Source organism: Homo sapiens, chromosome 11, assembly GCF_000001405.40.
Source record: "Homo sapiens chromosome 11, GRCh38.p14 Primary Assembly".
Taxonomy (NCBI): Eukaryota; Metazoa; Chordata; class Mammalia; order Primates; family Hominidae; genus Homo; species Homo sapiens.
The window spans coordinates 85,528,488-85,554,218 of NC_000011.10; the positions used below are offsets into that span (position 1 = coordinate 85,528,488).

The window sequence follows — 25,731 nt, forward strand, 5'->3', positions numbered from 1 at the left end:
GTTAATGTTAATAATATGAAGCAGTAGGAAATCTCATACACTGTTGGCAGTAGAGTAAACTGGTACAACACTTTGGAAAACAGTTTGGCATTTAATCCTGAGTTGAATTTATGCATAACCTACAAATTAGCAATTCTATTCCTGGCACTCAAATGGGTTATGCTTCATGAATAAATAAATCCCCAAATCAGAGTAGTTACATGAGTATGTGACCCATGCAATTGCACAGGGCCTTGGACTTAGAAGGACCCTGTGCTTAGTTTAATTATCTGCTATAGTTGTCTTGAAATTCTTAATAAATGTTGAACAACAGACTTAACATTTTCATTTTGCAGAAAGACGCACAAATATTCAGCTGGCCCTGTTTCTAAGCATATAACTAACAGAAATGTGTACACCAAGGGAAATACAGAGGTGTGCCTATACAACAAAACTAGAAACAACTCATGTTATTCACCAATAGACTGAACAAATTGTGGAATATTCATAACATGAAATACTATACAGCAATGAAAATTAATGAAGTATAGCTGTATGCAACTACATTATTAATCTCACAAGCATAATGTCAAGAAAAAGACGAATCTACGTGTATTTTAGAATCATCTTGCCAGTTTCACACAAATATATATGCACACACAATTGTTGAGAGGTCGTTTGCAAGTTGTCATATCCCTCATTCCTGCTTTGAGAAATGTAGGAGCATACAGATGGAACTCTCCTTCACCTACATTCCTGAGTGAGGTCCACGTAAAGAGCCCTACCATCACCACCTGTTCCCCGACAAATTATGAACATGTAACATGAACAAAAAATAAACCTTTGGTCTTCTAAACTACTGAGATTTCAGAAATTATTTATTGCTGCACCATTATCCAGCCAAATCTGACTAGTGTACAAATTCATCTAATGACCAAATAAGATTATCAATCTTTTTAAATCCATCCTAGAAATATCTATTTTTTATCTTGTTCACTTGCTACAAGAATAAAGTCCTATGGCATCTAGTAGTCATCTGATAGAAAAATGTTCCCTTTTATTTTCCTAAAATAATTTTCATCATGCTTTAAAAAGTTCCCCTTAGTTCTAGTATTCTTGACTTTGGTGAACAAGTCTACTCAGACTCTTCATACACTTTACAATTTTAATGACTCTGATCATACCCACCATTTACCTTTCCATTTCTATATTAAAGTTTCTTAATCTCAGATATAACTTTGCACATAAAATCTCCATGCCTTTGATTATTGTACCAACTTTCCTTTCCTCAAACACTTTAGGTCCAGTGTCTCCAGGACCACCAAATACAGTTATATGTTTTACATAAAACAACAAAGGCTCCCAGACAAGGAGATGAGTTTGTCTTTATCTACTAGTCATGTTACACATCCTCACATGAAACTATGGCAGGAGGATTGTAAACCATTTTCTTTAAACCAATTTACCACTTTCTCTTCTAGCCAAGTAAACTTAGGGGTAGATCTGCCTAGAGAGGGTTTGTTTTTTTTTTTTTTTTTTTGAGGTGGAGTTTGGAGTTTCACTCTTGTTGCCCAGGCTGGAGTGCAATGGCACAATCTCACCTCACCACAACCTCCACCTCATGGGTTCAAGCGATTCTCCTGCCTCAGCCTCCCAAGTAGCTGGAATTACAGGCATACACCACCACACCCAGCTAATTTTGGATTTTTAGTAGAGATGGAGTTTCTCCACATTGGTCAAGCTGGTCTTGAACTCCCGACCTCAGGTTATCTGCCCACCTCAGCCTCCCAAAGTGCTGGGATTACAAGTGTAAGCCACTGCGCCTGGCCTTTTTTTATTTTTATTTTATTTATTTTATTTATTTTTTTTTTTGAGACAGAGTCTCGCTCTGTTGCCCAGGCTGGAGTGCAGTGGCATGATCTTGGCTCACTGCAACCTCCGCCTCCCAGGTTCAAGCGATTCTCCTGCCTCAGCCTTCTGATTAGTTGCAATTACAGGCACATGCCACCACGCCCAGCTAATTTTTTTGTATTTTTAGTAGAAATGGGGTTTCACCATATTGGCTAGGCTGGTCTTGAACTCCTCACCTTGTCATCTGCCCACCTCGGCCTCCCAAAGTCCTGGGATTACAGGTACGAGCCACCACACCTGGCTAGGGTGTTTTTCTAATGCTTTTTTATAGACTAATAGAGTTTCTGAGTTTGCCTATTGCTCAAAGTATTCTGCACCCCAGGTACTAAGACAATAAGGTTTGCTTTGGTTCTGCTTTGTTTTGGCTACCATTCTTACACTTCCTTTTGGGGCCTCAACAGTTTATTGCCAAGATCAGCTTCCTGAGTCTATTGGCCTAATGCCTTGTGGTTAGAAGTAGAGTTAAAATGCTTTGTCCCTCTGTATATTACATAGCTATCACACACTACTTTCAAAGCCACTTACTTTGACTTAGTTGTATAATAATTTCCTGAACTTGAGCAGGAAGAGTTAGGGGACCACTCAGAACTTCTTAGAGGCTTTCTGCCCTCCCCCTATTTCCCTCGTAAATAAAATAAAATTTTAAAATTAGACTGGGATTTCTTAAAATAAGTAAATGAAAATAGAAGAAACTCTTAATACAATGTATTCTTACATTATTCCCTTTCCTTACTGGTCATTAAAAGTATTTATAACAACTAATTCAATTATTTTTAAATGCCAAGAGTATGAAATCATTATAGTGATATCAAACTTTAAAACAATAATTGTAAAATGATGAGTGTTGTTATTCCCTTATCCTACATTCCTAAATAAGCTTGCTGTTGGAGAGGCTCTTTCAAGTGTTGCAGCATATACATCATCACCAGATGTTAGTACAGGAGCATGAAGCAAGACCATGCCAAACAGGGTGATTTAAGAATAACTGCTACCCCGAATTTCTACAACCTCAGATGCTCAAGCCAGTATTTAACTCAATTCAATACACATGTTTTTATATCTGCTTTGTGCCAGCACTTTGGGGTATTCAAAAATAAATCACAACTGAAAAATTAGAGCCTCTCATCCAAGACGTCACAAACCAATGGAATTTTAAAATGTAGACTGATTGTTGCTACAGGAAAGGAGTTTTGAAAGAGGAATGAAAAAACTTGAGAAGGCTAGAAGGAAAAGAGCTAGTGGGAGGAAGAGACCAGCTCTGAGCCTATCTTTGACAGGAAGAGAAGTGGGCGTAGACACCTGTGAAGGCATGATACAATAAAGTGAGCCTGTGACTGAATCAGGTTACACAGCGGTGGAGGGGTGGAGAAAGACACACGCTGCAAGATAAAATTAGAAAAGAAGGCTTCTTTCTTACCCTGGAGTTCATAGCAATAACATATTAAATAATCTGAATAGATTATAAATCTCCCAATAACCCTGTGAGAAAGATGCTAATATGTTCCCTATTTTATTGACAAATAAACTAAGGAACAAAAATGTTAAGCAACTTTCTCAAAGTCACATAACTGGAATTTTGAGAGACCCAGGATAACAAAATCCAAAACCTAGGCATTTAACCATATAATTTTATACCCATTATTATCCAAGGAGAGATCCAATATAAAGAAAAAAGTTGTTTAATACATTTAGGTATAGTTTATATGCAATAAGAAAAAATATTTCAATATCATAATCCCTCGCTTTTCTAGGTTCTCACTTACATAGTCCTCTACACTACGCAGTATATACAAAAGAAAAAGTGGTCTTACGTATGAAATACAAGCACATGTTAAAAAGCAAACTAATGTTTATATGTCTTTTAATTATTATTTATTCATAATAACTAGATGGAAACACCTAGTAATGAACAAGGACAGCAGAAAACTAGAGGGAACTGGCTCTAGCAGAGCTTCCTGGAAGATATTTTCCAAGACTAGTTTCCCTCATCTTTGTTCCATATGAGGAGCAGGAAGGCTTTAGGTTTAGTGATTCTGCCACAGATCACCTGCTGCTATCCTCTATACTTCCTTGTAGAAATACTGATTCAGAAATATGATGTATTCATTTGTTGTTATTCCTTTTCTATGCCTTTGAACAGAAATCAATTATTGGCTAAGTTACATGAGTATCACAGAGCACACCAACTATTGTTACCTATATGTATGGTCTACAGATAGAACAGATCATAATTTCCAGTGCAGTAATATTTGGATGGGCAGTGCTGTCATATGTCACATCCTTTCTTTTTAACTTAATCTGTTAATAGCTCCACTGGAAGAGAATACTCTTCCAACTTAGACAGTAAAAGGTAAGAATTCTCTTATATACTAATGATCTGCCCATAGAAAAGGCTCTGAGTAGATAACTAACCCTGGTTTTTAATTTCTATCAGTAAGGATTGCAAGTAAATTGTCCTGAAATCAAAGCTATTTTTTTTAATGTCCCACACCTGTTCCTTATCTTATGTTAAAAATTCCACGAAACAAAAAACAATGCATTTTGTTAAAGTATACATTTTAGAAACAGGTTATCTTAGAATATATGAAAAGAAATTTTGTGACTCAAAATTAGAGATGCCTAAGGTGTTTTTGTTGTTGTTGTTGTTGTTGTTGTTGTTGTTTTGAGACGGAGTCTCAGTCTATCACTCAGGCTGAAGTGCAATGGCATGATCTCAGCTCACTGCAACCTCCCCCTCCCGGGTTCAAGCAATTCCCCTGCTTCAGCCTCCCAAGTAGCTGGGATTACAGGATTACATCACCACACCTAGCTAATTTTTGTATTTTTAGTAGAGATGGGGTTTCACCATGTTGGCCAGGCTAGTCTCGAACTCCTGGCCTCAATCGATCCACCCACCTCAGCCTCCCAAAGTGCTGGGATTACAGGCATGAGCCACCACACCCAGCCTCCTAAGGTGTTTTATTGTGATTTTTTTTAACTGGCTAAGGTGTGCCTTTGGTTTTACTTGCTTTTTAAAATACATACACACACTATATACATATTGAAATATATATATGAAATACATATATATACATAAAATACATATATATATATATATATAATTCTTTTTAATAGCTGAATAGCATTCCAGGGTGTATACGTACTACATTTTCTTTATCTAAATCCATCACTGATGGACATATAGGTTGGTTCCATGTCTTTGCTATTGTGAATGGTGCTGCAATAAACATGCAAGTCCAGGTGTCCTTTTGTTAGAATAATTTATTATAGATATAGATAGATATACACATATATATCCCACAGCATCCAGTGGCAGGCACTTCTTTCCCCTTATTGGTTTGTTTGATCTACCTCTTGTAAGAATCTATCTGGATTGTGAATCGGAAAACATTCTTTAGGTTCAGCGCTACGCCTGAGAGAAGGGAATACTAATGTAGCTGAGCTAATCAGAAGCCTCCACAAGTTTATACAGCTTTAGAGGAAAAGCTAAAGAATAAGATTAGCTAAGAAGGCTGTTTACAAATGTTTAAATTCCATTTAAGGAAAACTCTAGGTTTATTTTAATAGAACAATATATGCCCACTAAAATGTTGCTCTCTGGTTTTTTGTTTTTTGTTTGTTTGTTTTTGAGACAGAGTCTCATTCTGTTGCCCAGGCTGAAGTGCAATGGCGCTATCCCAGCTCACTGCAGTCCCCACCTCCCAGGTTCAAGCAATTCTCCTGCCTCAGTCTCCCGAGTAGCTGGGACTACAGGCAGGCGCAACCATGCCTGGCTAATTTTTGTCTGTCTCTAACTCCTGGACTCACATGATCCACCCACCTCAGCCTCCCAAAGTGCTGACATTAAAAGTGTGAAAGGTGCGCCTGGTCTACTCTCAGTATTTTAGAAAGCAATTCAAATTAAATTAAATTAAATTTATATTAACTAAAAAAAGGTCTTTTTTATTTCATTTCCTCCATGAAATATAATTTTTTTTAATTTTAGATTTGGGGGTACTTATGCAGGTTTGTCACCCGGGTATATTGTGTGATGCTGAAGTTTGGGCTTCTAATAATCCCATTACCCATACAGTGAACAAAGTACCCAACAGGTAGTTTTTCAGCCCTTGCCCCACTCCCTACCTCCCCACTTTTGGAGTCCCCAGTGTCTATTGTTCCCATCTTTATGTCAATTGTGTACCCAATATTTAGCTCTAACTTATAAATAAGAACATGTGATATTTGGTTTTCTGTTTCTGCATTAATTTGCTTAGGATAAGGGCCTCCAGCTGCATCCATGTTGCCACAAAGAACATGATTATAGCTGAATATCAGTATTCCATGTGTGTATATGTACCACATTTCCTTTACGTATTCCATCGTTGATGAGCATCTAGCTTGGCTCCATGTGTTTGCTATTGTGAATGGTGCTGCAATAAACATATGAGTGCAGGTGTCTTTTTGGTAAAATAACTTATTTTCCCTTGGGTATGTATGCAATAATGGGATTGCTGCGTTGGATGGCGATTCTATTTTCAGTTCTTTCAGAAATCTTCACACTGTTTTCCACAAGGGCTAAACTAATTTACATTTTCACCAATAGTGTATTAGCGTTCCCTTTTCTCCACAACCTCACCAACACTTGTTATTATTTGACTTTTTAATATAGTCATTCTGACTGGTGTGACATGGTATCTCACTGTGGTTTTGACTTGTATTTCTGTGATGATTAGGTTTTACTTGCTTTTGAGTAGAGGTTAGAAAAAGTTTATGACTCATAGCAAAGTATGATAGGAAGAGGAAAGGAAAATATAGGGAGATTTGTAGACCATGGTAAGGAATTTTGTTTGTTTTGCAGTGTGGTGATGCGGAGTATTTAGCTGACTTTGAGGAGAAAAAAGAAAAAAATAATTTCAAACATTGTAGGTATTATAAATATTACAGTATTGCTAGTACCATATAATGTTTACTTCCATAAAGATTATACCAATTTGATAGGTCATTGGATGGGGTCAAAATAAATAAATAAATATATATATAAAAATAATGTCAGTGCGTAGCAGTTTGCTCTTAATAATTTTTGTTGAATAAACTGAATGAATGAAGAGATATATTTTTTAAATTCCATCATTAAAAAGTTTAAATGTGGAGAAGGTAGAACTCTCATGTATTGCTGATGGGATTGCAAATTAGTGAAACCACATTGAAAAACAGTTTGGCAGTTCTCAAGAAGTTAAACAGAGTTACCATATAAACCAGCAATTCTACTCCTAGATATATGCCCAAGAGAAATGGAAACAGATGTCCACACAAAAATCTGTACACAAATGTTCATAGCAGCATTATTCAAAATAGCCAAAATACGGGAATAACCCAAATATCCAACAATCAACTCATGAACAGATAAATAAAATATGATATATTCATACAAAAGAATAATATCCAGTCATAAAAAAGAATTAAGTACTGATACATGCTACATGGATGAAGCTTGAAAACATTATGTTGGTGAAAGAAGCTAGTCACAAAAGGCCACATAATAATGTAGGATTCCATTTATATAAAATGTTTAAAATAGTCCAAGTGTGGTGGCTCATGCCTGTAATCCCAGCACTTTGGGAGGCCAAGGCAGGCAGATGGCTTGAGCTCAGGAGTTAGAGACCAAACTGGGCAACATGGTGAAACCCCATCTCTACCAAAAAATATAAAAATTAGACTGGCAAGGTGGCACACACCTGTAGTCCAGCTACTTGGGAGGCTTTGGTGGGAGGGTTACTTGAGCCTGGGAGGCAGAGGGTGCAGTGAGCCGAGATCACACCATTGAACTCCAGCCTGGCAACAGAGTGTGACCCTGTCTCAAAAAAAAAAAAAAAAAAAAAAAAGTTTTAAATAGGCAAATCCATACAGACAATGTCAGGACTTAGAAAACAATACCCCCAAAGTACAGTACCTTGGCATGCTGCATCCTTTAAATTGAAGCACTTTGGGAGGACCCCAGAAGCAGACTCTTTCTAAACTTATTCTCCTGCCCTCCTTTCTCCTCCTTTCCTCCTCTAAGGTAGGTCATAGAAACTAGAACTAGAACCCTATTGAGAGGTGACAACGTGCTAGCAGCCCTCACTCGCTCTTGGGGCCTCCTTGGCCTTGGCGTCTGCTCTGCCAGTGTTTGAGGAGCCCTTCACCCTGTTGCTGCGCTATGAGGGCCCCTCTCTGGGGCTGGTTGAGGCTGGAGCCGGCTCCCTCTGCTCACAGGGAAGTGTGAAGAGAGAGGCGCAGGCAGGAGCTGGGGCTGCGTGCGGTGCTCACAGGCCAGTGCGGGTTCCAGGTGAGCGCAGGCTTGGCAAGCCCCGCACTCAGGGCAGCGGGCTGATGCCTGCTGGGCTTGATCAGAGGCTGAATCCCATGCATGGACCGCCATTCCCTTTTCACGGGATGATTGGCCACAATACCAGGTCTCCATCTCTTTCTCGCTTCCCCTCTTTTCCTCTTGATTGTCTGGGACGAGCTCCCTCTGGGCTGCCAGAGTGCCCAGACTAGGTGCCGCAAAGTCCCACAGTGAATGCCAGTGAGAGGTGAAGCTGATTGGGCTTCTGGGACAGGTGGGGACTTGGAGAACTTTTCTGTCTAGCCAAAGGATTGTAAATGCATCAATCAGCATTCTGTGTCTAGCTAAAGGTTTGTAAATGCACAAATCAGTGCTCTGTGTCTAGCTAATTGGGTGGGGACTTGGAGAACGTTTGCGTCTAGCTAAGGGATTGTAAATGCACCAATCAGAACTCTGTGTCTAGCTAAAGGTTTGGAAATGCACCAATTAGCACTCTGTCAATATGGACCAATCGGCTCTCTGTAAAACGGACCAATCAGCTCTCTGTAAAATGGACCAGTCAGCTCTCTCAGGAGGATGTGGGTGGGGCAAGATAAGGGAATAAAAGCAGGCGACCAGAGCCAGCAGGGGCAACTGGCTCAGGTCACTTTCCAGGCTGTGGAACCTTTGTTCTTTCACTCTTCGCAATAAATCTCGCTGCTGCTCACTCTTTGGGTCCGCAAAGCCTTTATGAGCTGTAACACTCACCATGAAGGTCTGCAGGTTCACTCCTGAAGCCAGTGAGACCACCAACCCACCAGGAGGGATGAACAACTCCAGACAGGAGGGATGAACAACTCCAGACGGGAGGGATGAACAACTCCAGATGGGAGGAATGAACAACTCCAGACGTGCCACCTTTGTGAACTGTAACACTCACCACGAAGGTCTGCAGCTTCACTCATGAGGCCAGCAAGACCACGAACCCACCAGAAGGAATGAACAACTCCAGATATGCCGCCTTTAAGAGCTGTAACACTCACTGTGAAGGTCTGCAGCTTCACTCCTGAAGTCAGTGAGACCACGAACCCACCAGGAGGAAGAAACTCTGGACACATCTGAACATCTGAAGGAACAAACTGCGGACACATCATCTTTAAGAACTGTAACACGCGGCCAGGCGTGGTGGCTCAAGCCTGTAATCCCAGCACTCTGGGAGGCCCAGGTGGGTGGATCATGAGGTCAGGAGATTGAGACCATCCAGGCTAACACAGTGAAACCCCGTCTCTACTAAAAATACAAAATATTAGCAGGGCGTGGTGGCAGGCACCTGTAATCCCAGCTACTTGAGAGGCTGAGGCAGGAGAATGGCGTGAACCCAGGAGGTGGAGCTTCCAGTGAGCCGAGATCGCGCCACTGCACTCCAGCCTGGGTGACAGAGCGAGACTCCGTCTCAAAAAATAATAAAAAATTAAAAAATAAAAAAAGAACTGTAACACTCACTGTGAGGGTCCATGGCTTCATTCTTGAAGTCAGCAAGACCAAGAACCCACCAATTCTAGACACACTATCCCCCAAAGCCAGTCATAAAACCTAGAAACGTTACTGTAACCTTTCTATGTAAGAGCTGGCCATAAAGACATTCTCTGATCTGGCAATTATTAAAAAGTCAAGAAACAACAGATGCTGGCAAGGCTGTGGAGAAATAGGAACACTTTTACACTGTTGGTGGGAATGTAAATTAGTTCAACCATTGTGGAAGACAGTGTGGTGATTCCTCAAAGACCTAGAACCAGAAATACCATTTGACCCAGCAATTGCATTACTGGGTATATGCTCAAAGGAATATAAATAATTATATTATAAAGATACATGCATCCATATGTCCATTGCAGCACTTTTCACAATAGCAAAGACATGGAATCCACCCAAATGCCCATCAATGATAAACTGGATAAAGAAAATGTGGTACATATACACCGTGGAATGCTATGCAGCCATAAAAAATGATGAGTTCATGTCCTTTGTAGGGACATGGATGAAGCTGGAAACCATCATTCTCAGCAAACTAACACAGGGACAGAAAACCAAATACTGCATGTTCTCACTCATAAATGGGAGCTGAACAGTGAGAACACATGGACACAGGGAGGGAAACAATGCACACTGGGGCCTGTTGAGTGGAACAGGGGAAGGAGGAACATCAGGATAAATAGCTAATGCATGTGAGGCTTAATACCTAGGTGATGGGTTGATAGGTGCAGCAAAACACCATGGCACATATTTAAATATGTGACAAACCTGCATGCCCTGCACATGTATCCCAGAACTCAAAATTAAATTACATTTTTTTAAAAAAACACCTTCTCAGATCCACCTTGTCTGAAAGTAGAGCATTAAGACCTTCATTGCAGAAGACCTGCTGCCCTATACCTGAAAGGAAGGAATGCCACACATGGATCAAGAGGCATCTAAATAGGTAGGCCTTGCTGGGTTTCTCCACTCAAGTCTATTACCATTAGATCATTCCCTTTTTTTATCCTATCACATTTCTGAATGCAGTGCCTTAGACTGCTCGGTCATCCTGACACATGATACAGCTGTCACTCCATTTAATCTAAGCATAAAAATGGACAGCTGTCCCTTGAGTCTCTGGATCTATTTCTGAAGTTTCTTGGGCTGCATAAAACTTTGATTAAATGAATTGTTATGCTTTTCTCCCATTAATCTTCCTTTGTCTGTTTTATTTCAAACCTAGCCAGGAATGCTAGAAGAATTGAGGAAATATTTCCTCCCCTATGACAGAAAGTATAATAATAGTTTCCAGGTACTAAGGAGAGGAAGAATTAGAGTTACTGCTAATGGGTATGAGCTTTCTTTTTGGGATTATGGAAATATTCTGGAGCTAGTTACTGATGATAGCTGCATAACTCTGTGAACATATTTAAAAACCACCAAATTGTACACTTTAAAAGAGTAACTATCTTATGTTACTCTTTTTCATGATTTTTCAAAAAATCATCATTAGAAATGAGTTTAACCGATAAATATATACACTTACTGTGTACCCACAAAAATGTTAAATTAAAAAAAGTTTTTAAAGAGTTTGACGTGTCTGTAGTACAGGGGTTACAAGAGCTAAGGCAAGAAATATAGATTGAAGCTGATGAAGGAAAATGGAAATGGTTTAGTCAAGGCACCTAAAATAGAGCCAGGAGGCCATTTCAGCTGGGGCTTCAGGCACACCTTAAGCAATGAATACTCAACCCTAGAGGTCACAACTTCCTAGTTTGCGAGTGCAAAAACATCTGCTGTCTTATCTTCTGCTATTTCCTGCTGAGCTGAGAAGTCCCTGACCATGGGCCCACCTTTCAAAGTGCTACAACCAATTCCCTGACTCCAATACTGCTTTAGATACAATCATACTGATAAAGGGGCAAAGCGGCAGGGGGGTGGTGCAGGAAGGGAAATGCTGGGTAGAGAAGGCCAGGGTCCCTGGTGAGGGATCCACCCTTGGGCCTTTGCCCACGGACATAAGTGAGGACAGCCACTCTTGTTTCCGTACCCAAATGTTGCATTTTCCAAGACCACTCTGGCCCACCACATCCCCCCATCCTGTGCCCATAAAAACCCCAAGACCCTAGCAGGCACAGACACACGAGCAGCTGGACATCGAGAGGAACAGAGGATCAGAAGAGCACACTGACAGACACCAGCAGATGCTGACAGGCCATCAATGGTGGGACCATGTGGAATTTGGTCAGTAGTGATCAGAGGAGATGCCTGCCGCTGGGCAGCCCAAACTCCAGGGAAACACCACCATCCCATTCCATCCCCCTCTGGCCTCCCCATTCACCTCACTGAGAGCTACTTCCAATCAATAAAACTTTGCAGCCATCCTCCAAGCCCACATGTGATTCAATTTTTCTGGTACACCAGGGCAATAATTCAGGATACAGAAAGCCCTCTGTCCTTGTGATAAAGCAGAGGCTCTAATTGGGCGGATTAACACAAGCTGCCTACAGACAGCAAAACAGCAAAGCTAAAAGAGCACACTGTGACACACACCCACTGGGACTTCGGGAGCTATAAACACTCAACCTTAGACGCTGCTGTGGGGTCAGAGCCCAAAAACTGCCCATGACCTGCCCATCTGTATGCTCCCCCTAGGGGTTTGAGCAGCCAGGCACCAAAGAAGCAAGCCACATCCCTGTTGCACGCCCTGCGAGGAGGATAAGAAAACTCCTCCCATTTCAATACAAATTATAATAGTTGGAAAACAACTTTTGTTACCACCCTCTTTTCTTTAAAAGTTCACAATTCTCTTTTGTTCCCTGGAACACTTCCCAGGATAACTTGGAAGTGTTTCCTGGGCTGCAGTCATGCAAATCTGACTCAAATAAATTCTTTAGTATTTAAGCTCTGCCTCAGTTTCTTTCCAGGTCCATAAGGCGGTCTTACAAAAAGCATAATTGCTCTAATGTGCCATCCTAAGGACTTTTAACTTTACCCTGTGAATGATGGAAAACAAAGTAATGATATAATCACATCAGATTCAAAAAATAATTATTGAGACCACTGCTAATCTGAGTATAAATTATTTAATACTTATGTATTTATAGTTTTAAATTACAATGGATCACTTCTATTTATATACTAGGTCATTTCTTTCATTTTTAATGACTTCATATAACATACAGCTGGAAAAAAAATTAGAAATAAGCAAGTCCAATTTACTAACTTTACAGGTGAGGAAACTAGGCCTAAAAAAGTTAACTTGCCCAATGTCATACAGATAATGAGTATTATTATTTATGAATGTTTTATCTTTAATAAATATATATTATTATAATATATACTAATGGGCCCTATATGAAAGTTGGGTCAATAAATGACTTAGAAAACATCTCCAAACCCTTTGAGATGGCTTACAAAACTACTACTGATTTGACTTTTGCTGATTGTTTATGGAACAATTCATAGAGTGAGTGCAAAAAAACACAGATTTGAAGTCATAGAAAATTACTTCTAAGGATTAAAATTTTGATCCACCACCTTCTAATTAAAAGAAAAAAACACTTCAGCCAAATTCTGCATCATGAATTCAGTGCCTTTTTACTCCTCTGCCTCCCTTTCTCTTGTAATTATTCCCTATCTCCTAATACTAGGCTTCCTGTTGAATTGCTAACAAAATCCAGGAAATGCCCAAGGAATTTAATTCAAATGCAAATGGAATTATTTGTGTTATTCCTGTCTCTGCTTTTAAAAAATAATAATATGAAACAGTGTGCTATTGCTGAAAGCCTCACAGACTTCTCAGCTTGACACCTGAAGTAATTTAGAAGAGTAAGGGGGAAAAAAATCTGTAACTGGTTTACAGCTAATTTATTTACAACAACTCCAGAATTGAGAAAACCCACCCACATTCGTGTGCCCACAGAGAAAGAGAAATGAATTCTTTACAAAGCAGTAGCACTTTTTGTCCTGCTGGTCCTTTTTTCTCATTTATTTTTCTTTTCTTTCCTCCTCATTTCAGGTAACTTCAATGAGATTTTAGTTACAATTCTTGTGAATTCAACCTAAGTAGAAATTACACCAAAAGAAATGGGGCACCACCTTCATTGTTAAGCAATCTCTTGGAAATATATTATGTTGGAGAACTCCCCCACGGACCAACAAAAAATGTGTGTACAAACTGAGTGGCAAACAAATGATATTATACCTATGCATTTGATTAATCTGGGAATTATGGAAGATATTCAAAGGATCTGGGAATCCTTTGAAGATAAAATAGGACAAAATACATTTTGTTTATGAAGTAAATTTAGGAGTAAGGCTTCATCTTTTAAAGTATTAATAGATACCATATCTTCAATATCAGCATTTTTTTCCTTTTAAAGTTTGCATAATATATGACAACATGAACAATACAAAGAATCCTGACTTGTTGGCTCTGGGTTTTAAAGGAGATTTTAATATTCTCAAAGGTCTCTTTTAGATCTTAAATTCTATTATTCTATGATTCTTCATTCTCTGTTCCTATGTCATAGCATAATCATTTGACATGACATTTCATAGGCAAAAATGTCAAAGTAAATACTTGCAACACTGAATTAATGTTTCAAAAAGTAAAAGTCAGTCCTAGCCCAAGGGCATTTATTTAAAAACAAATGAAAACAGTCAATTATATCAATAAGATAAATATAAGTTGTATGTAGTCATATGTGTTTATGTGTGTGTGGATTTAAATGATTTTGGAAGGATATACATCAAAATGTTACTATTTCTAGGTAATACTGTTGCTAGGTGTAGCTATACAAAATTGATTCTCTTTTTTTTAATTATAATTTAAGTTCCGGGATACATGTGCAGAACTTGCAGGTTTGTTACATAGGTATACATGTGCCATGGGGGTTTGCTGCACCTATCAACCCGTCATCTACATTAGGCATTTCTACTAATGCTATCCCTCCCCTAGGCCCCCATCCTCAACAGGCTCTGGTGTGTGATGTTCCCCTCCCTGTGCCCATTTGTTCTCATCGTTCAACTCCGACTTATGAGTGAGAACATGCAATGTTTGGTTTTCTGTTCCTGTGTTAGTTTGCTAAGAATGATGGTTTCCAGCTTCATCCATGTCCCTGCAAAGGATATTAATTCATCATTTTTTATGGCTGCTTAGTATTCCATGGTGTACATGTGCCACATTTTCTTTATCCAGTCTATCATTGATGGACATTTGGGTGGGTTCCAAGTCTTTGCTAGTGTGAACAATGCCACAATAAACATATGTGTGCATGGATCTTTATAGTAGAATGATTTATAATCCTTTGGGTATATACCCAATAATGGGATTGTCGGGTCAAATGGTATTTCTAGTTCTAGATCCTTAAGGAATTGCCACACTGTCTTCCACAATGGTTGAACTAATTTACACTCCCACCAACAATGTAAAAGCATTCCTATTTCTCCACATCCTCTCTAGCATCTATAGTTTCCTGACTTTTTAATGATCACCATTCTAACTGTCGTGAGATGGTATCTCATTGTGGTTTTGATTTACATTTCTCTAATGACCAGTGATGATGAGCTTTTTCTCATATGTTTGTCGTCTGCATAAATGTCTTTTTTGGAGAAGTGTCTGTTCATATCCTTCATTCACTTTTTGATGGGGTTGTTTGTTTTTTTTTCTTGTAAATTTGTTTAAGTTCTTTGTAGATTTTGGATATTAGCCCTTTGCCAGATGGATAGATTGCAAAAATTTTCTCCCATTCTGTAGGGTGCCTGTTCACTCTGATGACAGTTTCTTTTGCTGTGCAGAAGCTCTTTAGTATAATTAGATCCCATTTGTCAATTTTGGCTTTAGTTGCCGCTGCTTTTGGTGTTTTAGTCTTGGAAGTCTTTGCCCATGCCTATGTCCTGAATGGTATTGCCAAGGTTTTATTCTAGGGTTTTTGTGGTTTTAGGTCTAAAATTTAAGTCTTGAATCTGTCTTGAGTTAATTTTTGTATAAGGTATAAGGAAGGGATCCAGTTTCAGCTTTCTACATATGGCTAGCCAGTTTTCCCAAGACCACTTATTAAATAGGGAATCCTTTCCCCAATGCTTGCTTTTGTCAGCTTTGTCAAAAAATCAAATGGTGGTAGATGTGTGGTGTTATTTCTGAGGCTTCTGTTCTGTTCCATTGGTTTATATATCTGTTTTGCTACCAGTACCATGCTGTTTTGGTTACTCTAGGCTTGTAATAAAGCTTGAAGTCAGGTAGTGTGATGCTACCAGCTTTGTCCTTTTTGCTTAGGATTGTCTTGGTTTTGTGGACTCTTTTTTGATTCCATATGAAATTTAAAGTAGTTCTTTCCAATTCTGGGAAAAAAGTCAATGGTAGCTTGATAGGGAGAGCACTGAATCTATAAATTACTTTGGGCAGTATGGCCATTTTCACAATATTGATTCTTCCAATCCATGAGCATGGAATGTTTTTCCACTTGATTGTGTCCTCTTTTATTTCCTTGAGCAGTGGTTTGTAGTTCTCCTTGAAGAGATCCTTCACATCCCTTGTAAGTTGGATTCCTAGGTATTTTATTCTCTTTGAGGCAAATGTGAATGGGAGTTCACTCATGATTTGGCTCCCTGTGTGTTACTGGCGTATAAGAACGCTTGAGATTTTTGCACATTGATTTTGTATCAATCAAACTTTGCTGAAGTTGGTTATCAGCTTAAGGAGACTTTGGGGTGAGATGATGGGGTTTTCTAAATACACAATCATGTCATCTGCGCACAGAAACAATTTGACTTCCTCTTTTCCTAATTGAATACCGTTTATTTCTTTCTCTTGCCTGATTGCCCTGGCCAGAACTTCCAGTACTATGTTGAATAGGAGTGGTGAAAGAGGGCATCCTTGTGTTGTGCTGGTTTTCAAAGGGAATGCTTCCAGTTTTTGCCCATTCAGTATGATATTGGCTGTGGGTTTGTCATAAATAGCTCTTAGTATTTTGAGCTACGTTCCATCAATATCTAGTTTATTGAGAGTTTTAGCATGAAGGGCTGTTGAATTTTGTCAAAGGCCTTTTCTGCATCTATTGAGACAATCATGTGATTTTGTCATTGGTTCTGTTTATGTGATGGATTACGTGTATTGATTTGCATATGTTGAACAAGACTTGCATCCCCGGGATGCAGCCAACTTGATCGTGGTGGATAAGCTTTTTGATGTGTTGCTGGATTCGGTTTGCCAGTATTTTATTGAGGATTTTCGCATCAACATTCATCAGGGATATTAGCCGGAAATTTTCTTTTTTTGTTGTGTCTCTGTGAGGTTTTGGTATTAGGATGATGCTGGCCTCATGAAGTGAGTTAGGGTGGATTCCCTCTTTTTCTATTGTTTGGAATAGTTTCAGAAGGAATGGTACCAGCTCCTCCTTGTACCTCTGGTAGAATTTGGCTGTGAATCCATGTGGTCCTGGGCTTTTTTTGGTTGGTAGGCTATTAATTGCTGCCTCAACTTCAGAACTTGTTATTGGTCTATTCAGGGATTCAACTTCTTCCTGGTTTAGTCTTGGGAGGGTGTATGTGTCCAGGAACTTATCCATTTCTTCTAGAGTTTCTAGTTTCATTTGCATAGAGGTGTTTATAGTATTCTCTGATGGTAGTTTGTATTTCTGTGGGATTAGTGGTGATATCCCCTTTACCATTTTTTTATTGCATCTATTTGATTCTTCTCTCTTTTCTTCTTTATTAGTCTGGCTAGCAGTCTATCTATTTTGTTGAACTTTTCAAAAAACCAGCTCCTGGATTCATTGATTTTATGTAGGGTTTTTTGTGTCTCTGTCTCCTTCAGTTCTGCTCTGATATTAATTATTTCTTGGCTTCTGCTAGCATTTGAATTTGTTTGCTCCTGCTTCTCTAGTTCTTTTAAATGTGATGGTAGGGTGTTGATTTTAGATCTCCCCTGCTTTCTCTTGTGGGCATTTAGTGCTATAAATTTCCCTCTACACACTGCTTTAAATGTGTCCCAGAGATTCTGCTACCTTGTGTCTTTGTTCTCATTGGTTTCAAAGACCATCTTTATTTCTGCCTTCATTTTGTTATTTACCCAGCAGTCATTCAGAAGTAGGTTGTTCAGTTTCTATGCAGTTGTGTGATTTTTGAGTGAGTTTCTTAATCCTGAGTTCTAATTTGATTGCACTGTGGTCTGAGAGACTGTTTGTTATGATTTCCGTTCTTTTGCATTTGCTGAGGAGTGTTTTACTTCCAATTATGTGGCCAATTTTAGAATAAGTGTGATGTGGTGCTGAGAAGAATGTATATTCTGTTGATGTGGGGTGGAGAGTTCTACAGATGTCTATTAGGTCTGCTTGGTCCTGAGCTGAGTTCACGTCCTGGATATCCTTGTAATTTTCTGTGTCATTGATCTGTCTAATATTGACAGTGGGGTGTTAAAGTCTCCCATTATTATTGTGTGGGAGTCTAAATCTCTTTGTGTGTCTCTAAGAACTTGTTTTATGAATCTGGGTGCTCCTGTATTGGGTGCATATATATTTAGGATAGTTAGCTCTTCTGGTTGCATTGATCCTTTTTCCATTATGTAATGGCCTTCTTTGTCTCTTTTGATCTTTGTTGGTTTAAAGTCTGTTTTATCAGAGACTAGGATATAACCCCTGCTTTTTTTTTTTTTTTTTTTTTTGCTTTCCATTTGCTTGGTAAATATTTCTCCATCCCTTTATTTTCAGCCTATGTGTGTCTTTGCATGTGAGATGGGTTTGCTGAATACAGCACATCAATGGGTCTTGACTCTTATCCAATTTGCCAGTCTGTGTCTTTTAATTGGGGCATTTAGTCCATTTACATTTAAGGTTAATATTGTTATGTGTGAATTTAATCCCTCCATTATGATGCCAGCTGGTTATTTTGCCCATTAGCTGTTGCAGTTTATTCATAGCGTCGATGGTCTTTACAGTTTGGCATGTTTTTGCAGTGGTTGATCCTTTCCATGTTTAATGCTTCCTTCAGGAGCTCTTGTAAGGCAGGCCTGGTGGTGACAAAATCTCTCAGCACTTGCTTGTCTATAAAGGGTTTTATTTCTCCTTCACTTATGAAGCTTAGTTTGGCTGGATATGAAATTCTGGGTTGAAAATTCTTTATGAGTGTTGAATATCAGCCCCCACTCTCTTTTGGCTTGTAGGGTTTCTGCAGAGAGATCTACTGTTAGTCTATGGGCTTCCCTTTGTGGGTAACCTGACCTTTCTCTCTGGCTGCTCTTAACATTTTTTCCTTCATTTCAATGTGAATCTGACAATTATGTGTCTTGGCGTTGTTCTTCTCAAGGAGTATCTTTGCGGTGTTCTCTGTAGTTCCTGAATTTGAATGTTGGTCTGCCTTGCTAGGTTGGGGAAATTCTCCTGGATAATATCCTGAAGAGTGTTTTCCAACTTGGTTCCATTCTCCTTGTCACTTTCCGGTACACCAAACAAATGTAGATTTGGTCTTTTCACATAGTCCCAGATTTCTTGGAGGTTTTGTTCGTTTCTTTTCACTCTTTTTTCTCTAATCTTGTCTTCTCACTTTATTTCATTGAGTTGATCTTCAGTCACTGATATCCTTTCTTCCGCTTGATCAATTTGGCTATTGATATTTGCGTATGCCTCATGAAGCTCTCCTGCTGTGTTTTTCAGCTCCATCAGGTCATTTATATTCTTCTCTAAACTGGTTATTCTAGTTAGCAATTCGTCTAACCCTTTTTCAAGGTTCTTAGCTTCCTTGCATTGGGTTAGAACATGCTCCTTTAACTCAGAGGAGTTTTTATTACCCACCTTCTGAAGCCTACTTCTGTCAATTTGTCAAACTCATTCTCTGTCCAGTTTTGTTCCCTTGCTGGCAAGGAGTTGTGATCCTTTGGAGGAGAATAGGCATTCTGGTTTTTAGAATTTTCAGCCTTTTTGTGCTGTTTTCTCCCCATCTTCATGGATTTATTTACCTTTGGTCTTTGAAGTCGGTGATCTTTGGCTGGGGTCTCTGAGTGGATGTCCTTTTTGTTGATGTTGATACTATTCCTTTCTGTTTGTTAGTTTTCCTTCTGACAGTCAGGCCCCTCTGCTGCAAGTCTGCTGGAGTTTCCTGAAGGTCCACTCCAGACCCTGTTTGCCTGGGTATCACTGGTGGAGGTTGCAGAACAGCAAAGATTGCTGCCTGTTCCTTGCTCTGGAAGTTTCGTCCCAGAGGGGCACCCGCCAGATGCCAGCCTGAGCTCTGCTCTATGAGGTATCTGTCATCCCCTACTGGGAGGTGTCTCCCAGTCAGGATACACGGGGGTCAGGGACCCACTTGAGGAGGCAGTCTGTCCCTTATCAGAGCTTGAATGCTGTGCTGTGAGATCCACTGCTCTCTTCAGAGCTGCCAGGCAGGGATGTTTAAGTCTGCTGAAGCTGTGTCCCCAACCGCCCCTTCCCCCAGGTGCTCTGTCCCAGGGAGGTGGGGGTTTTATCTATAAGTCCCTGACTGGGGCTGTGCCTGTTTTTCAGAGACGCCCTGTCCAGAGAGGAGGGAATCTGGAGAGGCAGTCTGGCCACAGTGGCCTTGCTGAGCTGCGGTGGGCTCCCCACAATTTGAACTTCCCAGTGTCTTTGTTTATACTGTGAGGGTAAAACCACCTACTCTACCCTCAGCAATGGTGGATGCCCTTCCCCCCACCAAGCTCGAGCATCGCGGGTCAAGCTCAGACTGCTGTGCTAGCAGTGAGAATTTCAAGCCAGTGGATCTTAGCTTGCTGGGCTCCGTGGGGGTGGGACTGCCAAGCCAAACCACTTGGCTCCCTGGCTTCAGCCCCCTTTCCAGAGGAGTGAACTGTTCTGTCTCAGTGGCGTTCTGAGCACCACTGGGGTATGAAAAAAAAACTCCTGCGGCTAGTTCAGAGTCCGCCAAAACAGCCGCCCAGTTTTGTGCTGGAAACCCAGAGCCCTGGTGGCTTGGGCGCTGGAGTGAATCTCCTGGGTCCGCAGGTTGTGAAGACCATGGGAAAAGCATAGTATCTGGGCTGGAGTACATGGTACAGTCCCTAATGGCTTCCCTTGGATAGACAAGGTGTTCCCTGACCCCTTGCACTTCCCGGATGAGGTGACGCCCCACCCTGCTTCCACTCGCCCTCCTTGGGCTGCAACCACTGTCCAACCAGTCACAATGAGATGAACCGGTTACCTCAGCTGGAAATGCAGAAATCACCCGCCTTCTGCATCAATCTCACCAGGAGCTGCAGACCGGAGCTGTTCCTATTCGGCCATCTTGCCAGCCAATTCTCTTCTTTATACTTTTCGATAATGTCTAAATATTTCCCAATACAATTGTAAATTGTACAAGTATGAAAAAAAGCATTTCCATTCAAAAATATAAAAACGTCAGAGGCATTTGAGCCAGAGCAACTCCATCTTGTATAGGGGCTAGGTAAAATAAGACTGAGACCTACTGGGCTGCATTCCCAGGAGGTTAGGCATTCTACCAGGATGAGATAGGTCAGCACAAGATACAGGTTACAAAGACCTTGCTGATAAAACAAGTTGCAAGAAAGAAGCTGATCAAAACCCACCAAAATCAAGATGGTGATGAAAGTGACCTTTGGTCATCCTCACTGCTCATTATACACTAATTATAATGCATTAGCATGCTAGAAGACACTCCTGCCAGAGCGATGACCAGTTTACAAATGCCATGGCAACATCAGAAAGTTACCCTATACAGTCTAAAAAAGGGAGGAACCCTCAGTTCTGGGAATTGCCCACCCCTTTCCTAGAAAACTCATGAATAATCCATCCCTTGTCTACCATAAAATCAAAAATTAACAATAAATATAAGCAGCTGAGCAGCCCATGCCACCACTCTGCCTATGGAGTAGCCATTCTTTTATTCCCTTACTTTCTTAATAAACTTGCTTTCATATTACTCTATGGATTTGCCTCCAATTCTCTTGCACAAGATCTAATCAATTCGTTCATGTAACCTCACTTCTCCTGGATGCCAGACAAGAGCTCAGGAGCCACAAGTATGATACAAAAGGACGTCATACTGGCCCTTTGCCCTCACTGGCAGAGGACAGCCACCTAGCATGAAAAGGTGGAGGGCCCACTGAGCTGTTAACACCTAAGCCATAGTGGATGGCAGAGCTAAAAGAGCACTGTATCACATCACCTGGGGCTTTGGGAGCTGCAGGCACCCCAACTGGACGCTGCCACGGGGCCTGCATGGAGTTTGTGCTGCCAGCGCGCAAAGGTGCTTACTCTGGTTCCTGCACCCACTCACCTGCGTGCTCCCTCCTGCAAGGGGTGGAATGCAGCAGGTCCAAGTGAGTGGGGTTTGATCCCCCTGGTGCCACTGGTGCCGCTGGTGCTGAAGTGCCTGGTGGATTCAAGCACTCATGCACGCCAGTTCCCAGGAGGAGTTGAGAGCGGCAGGCTGAGTAAAGGAGGCACCCACTGTTGCAAGTCCCATGAAGGGGTCAGGGAAATATCTTGCTTCAAAGGCAGAAACATCTGCATGGAACTTTTCCTAACAAAAGTGGCAACTGGCTAGTTTGGGTACGGCATATTCTACCCCTGCTATTCTGCACTATATGAGACTTTCTCTGGCTAACTCTCCAGTTCAAGAACAGTTCCTCTTTACTGTAATTACTAAGAATACTTTTTCTAGAGCCTGTCATATTTAAGGCCATGGCCTCTGGCATGATGAACATTAGTTGCTGAATGCCGTATTTCCAAAGGAAAGAAGGAACAAGTTAGCCACCTAGATCCTAAGAAAGACTTTTCAGAAACAATTGTGTCTAACAGTCAAGAAAGAAAATACAGAAATAGAAGTGGCACAATATTGCTCAAAATCTTCAGTAGCTTCTTGTTAATTTTAGGATAAAATCCTGACACCATTATCAAAATATGAGGTAAAGGAGGAAGTGAGGTAAACCAGATATATGTGTTTTGAAAACACTTTCCCAGATGATTCCGATATATTAGTGCCCATTTCTATGAAGCATTTTTGAGATAGACAACATCATCTCTATATACTGAGTAGATAGTATACATACTTCAAAGGTCAATTTGTATTAGGTGTAGAAATATGAGAAGCAGAATGGTTAAGCCATTATGTTCCCCCAAAAGATGACCAAATATGAATATATAATCAGCAATAAACATCGAGAAAAAAAACTGAGTTCAAAGTAGGTGCCATCACTTTCTAAATATAATTTTTTTCTAGTCATGATTAGCCCAGTTTTTCTCAGACTTCAGTTTTTAATGTAAAAATAATTATAATTGTACCAATGTTGCTTTAAATACTCATATTTTAATGCCATATAAATACATACTAACAAAATTAGATCTAAACTATTATGCATATAACTCCTTTATAACTATTAAATTAATATAAATTCACAAATTAAATATATTTAAAAATTACAAAAACATTGACATTCAAATTAATAACATTAATTTCATAAGAAAGATGATGTTTAGCTGAAATGGTATTGATGTTGCATGCAAATAATATCAAGTTCACATATAAATTTAATTATTTTCTGAATTTTTGTTTCAATAATAAGAGTATTCCTGTTCAAGCCTTCCAGAGTAACAATGTGCCACAATGAGTAGCTGATGTTATCCCACTACTAATATATACAGAATGCTGGATAAAATATAGTCCACAAATACTAAGTACATATCAAAACTAAAAAGAAAAAAGTAGAAATCCTCAGGCATAAGAAAAATGGAGGTAACTCAAGTCATAACAATAAGCAGAGAAACTAAGAATTCAGTGGGAAAAGAGAGTATCAGGTCCAAATATATATACCCCTAAGGCCTTGAGATCACAATTTTAATGGTAAGCAGGAACTGAGGCAGGATCTGAAAATAAAACTCCTTTCACTGGAACCTGAAAGGTTCCTATTCATGAAATGGGACTTAAAAGAAAAAAAAAAAAAAAAAAGGCTTCAGCATGCAGCCCAAGGCAGTAGCAAGAATGTTCATCTTTTCTGCTGAGTGCTGTGAGTAGAAAAGAAAAGCCTTCTGTGAGAAATCAAAACTCCAATCTCACAACGAGTGGTGCTACAAGAATCTCAAACCAAAATATTAACAAAAAAATGGCCTCATAACAGTGGAACTCCTGGAATACCCAAAAGAAATAAATGCAAAACTCATTTCTAGGTATATTTCTACAACACATATGGCTGTTACAGAAAAACAGACTTCTGCTGAAAATTAACTCACAAAGTTTACAAATCACCTGAGGACTTTTCACTTACCAAAAGGGAGTATCAGTAGACACAACAAATGGTTAAAACAGCACCCTCCCAAAAAAAAAGTTTAGAAAAATAAAACAATCTGATATTTTTAAATAATTATTCTTGATATTATTTAAAAAATAAAAGAAATACAGTTATACTGAAAGACCTTCCAATGAAAAATAGTGACTTAAATAAAATAAATAGAACTTCTAAAAAGGCATTAACATTTTTAAATCTCAATGTATAGATTAATTAGCAAATTAGATATTGCTGAAGAAAAAACTATTACATGGGAAGATGAGCTTAAGAAAATTACCCAAAATCCAATACAATAAAAAAATAGAAAATATAATGACAGAATGAATGTTATGGAGGATAGAATAAGAAACATTCATCTATCTATTTAAATAGGAGTTCCAAGAGAGAATAGGAAAGAGAAAATATTGAAGAGAAAATCGCTAAGAATTTGCCCAAAATGATAAAAAACATGATCAAATTCAGGAAACAAATCTCACGCAAAAAATTAAAAAGAAATCCACACTGGATACATCATTGAGAAACTTCAGATAATTAAAGACAAAAATAAAATACTAAAAGCAACCTCAGAGAAATGATACATTGAATGCAACAGAAAAACAATTACATGGAGAATGCCCTAATTATAATTTCATTTATTCACAAATATTTATTGAATGCCAGGCACTGTTTTAGTTCCTGAGGATATAGCAGTGAACAAAACAGACAAAAATTCTTGCCTTCATGGAGATTACATACTGGTGATAGGAATAGAATAATATCTGCAAAAAACAAACATAAAACAAATGTGAATTCTAAATTCACTTTTTTCTTTCATTCAATAAATACTTATTAGGTACTTTTTATATGCCAAACACTGTTTTAAGGTGTTGTGATGCATTAATGAAAAAGGGGACAAAAATTCCTAACTTCATTAAGCTTACATCATATGTAAATATATAAATAATAGACATAAAAATAGTTTTTAAATTATCATATGTTGGACTATAACAAGTGCTTTTTTTTTTTGGAGGTACACAACACCATGCCCGGCTAATCTGTTTGTATTTTTGGTAGAAATGGGGTTTCCAGCTAAACTACATTGAAGAATAAAATAAGTACATTTGCAGATGAAAAACTGATATTAATTGATTCTTACTGAAAGAGATTAAATGATGTGTGGAGGAAACTACATACAAAGGAGTGGAATATAAAATGAAATGTTAATAATCAACATTCCTTTCATGTACACATTATACATTTATAAAAATTATCCATATAACAGATCACACTCATCTCTCAACAAATACTAAATACCAAGAATAAGTTTACAGAATATAAATCAACAAAATTGGAGAACAAAAGTAAAAAGAAAATCAATTTAAGAATTACATTAAATTTCCACATAAAAATTATGTTACATTCAGCATCTTCTGCTTGCTAAAAAGTAAATTATATTACATAAAAATTATACTGCTAAATATTCATAGTTTAAGTTTCCATTTTATATGGATATACAGAATATTTAGAAAGTAACAGCATGACATATAAAAATATGTGGGTCGCAGATAAAGTAGTACTTAACAGTTATAGCCAAAAACTTAAAAGTCATAGCCAAAAAGTATATATTTGAGAAGAAAAAATACTGAAAACTTCTATCCAAGATCTCAACTCAAGAAGTTTTTAAAAGGACAATAGAGTAAAATAAAAGAAAGTAGAAGAAAAAAGAAATAATGGGAATCAAATTTAATAAAATAGAAATCAAAGAATAGTATAAAGCAAATTAACAAAA

The 25,731-nt window shown here is 38.9% G+C and overlaps 1 protein-coding gene across 12 annotated transcripts in view, besides 2 other annotated features; it reads right to left on the bottom strand.

Annotated features, from left to right (window-relative positions):
* DLG2 (discs large MAGUK scaffold protein 2) overlaps window positions 1-25,731 on the bottom strand; it is a 2,173,362-nt gene that overhangs the window by 2,073,476 nt on the left and 74,155 nt on the right. The gene's annotated exons all lie outside the window — the stretch shown is intronic.
* Window positions 9,234-9,733: an enhancer, noted in NCBI's record as "H3K27ac hESC enhancer chr11:85248765-85249264 (GRCh37/hg19 assembly coordinates)". NCBI's record gives its function as "activates a minimal SCP1, AML or CMV promoter by ChIP-STARR-seq in primed H9 embryonic stem cells {active_cell/tissue: H9 hESC(primed)}" and the evidence as "EXISTENCE:reporter gene assay evidence [ECO:0000049][PMID:30033119]".
* Window positions 11,304-11,842: an enhancer, noted in NCBI's record as "H3K27ac-H3K4me1 hESC enhancer chr11:85250835-85251373 (GRCh37/hg19 assembly coordinates)". NCBI's record gives its function as "activates a minimal SCP1, AML or CMV promoter by ChIP-STARR-seq in naive H9 embryonic stem cells {active_cell/tissue: H9 hESC(naive)}" and the evidence as "EXISTENCE:reporter gene assay evidence [ECO:0000049][PMID:30033119]".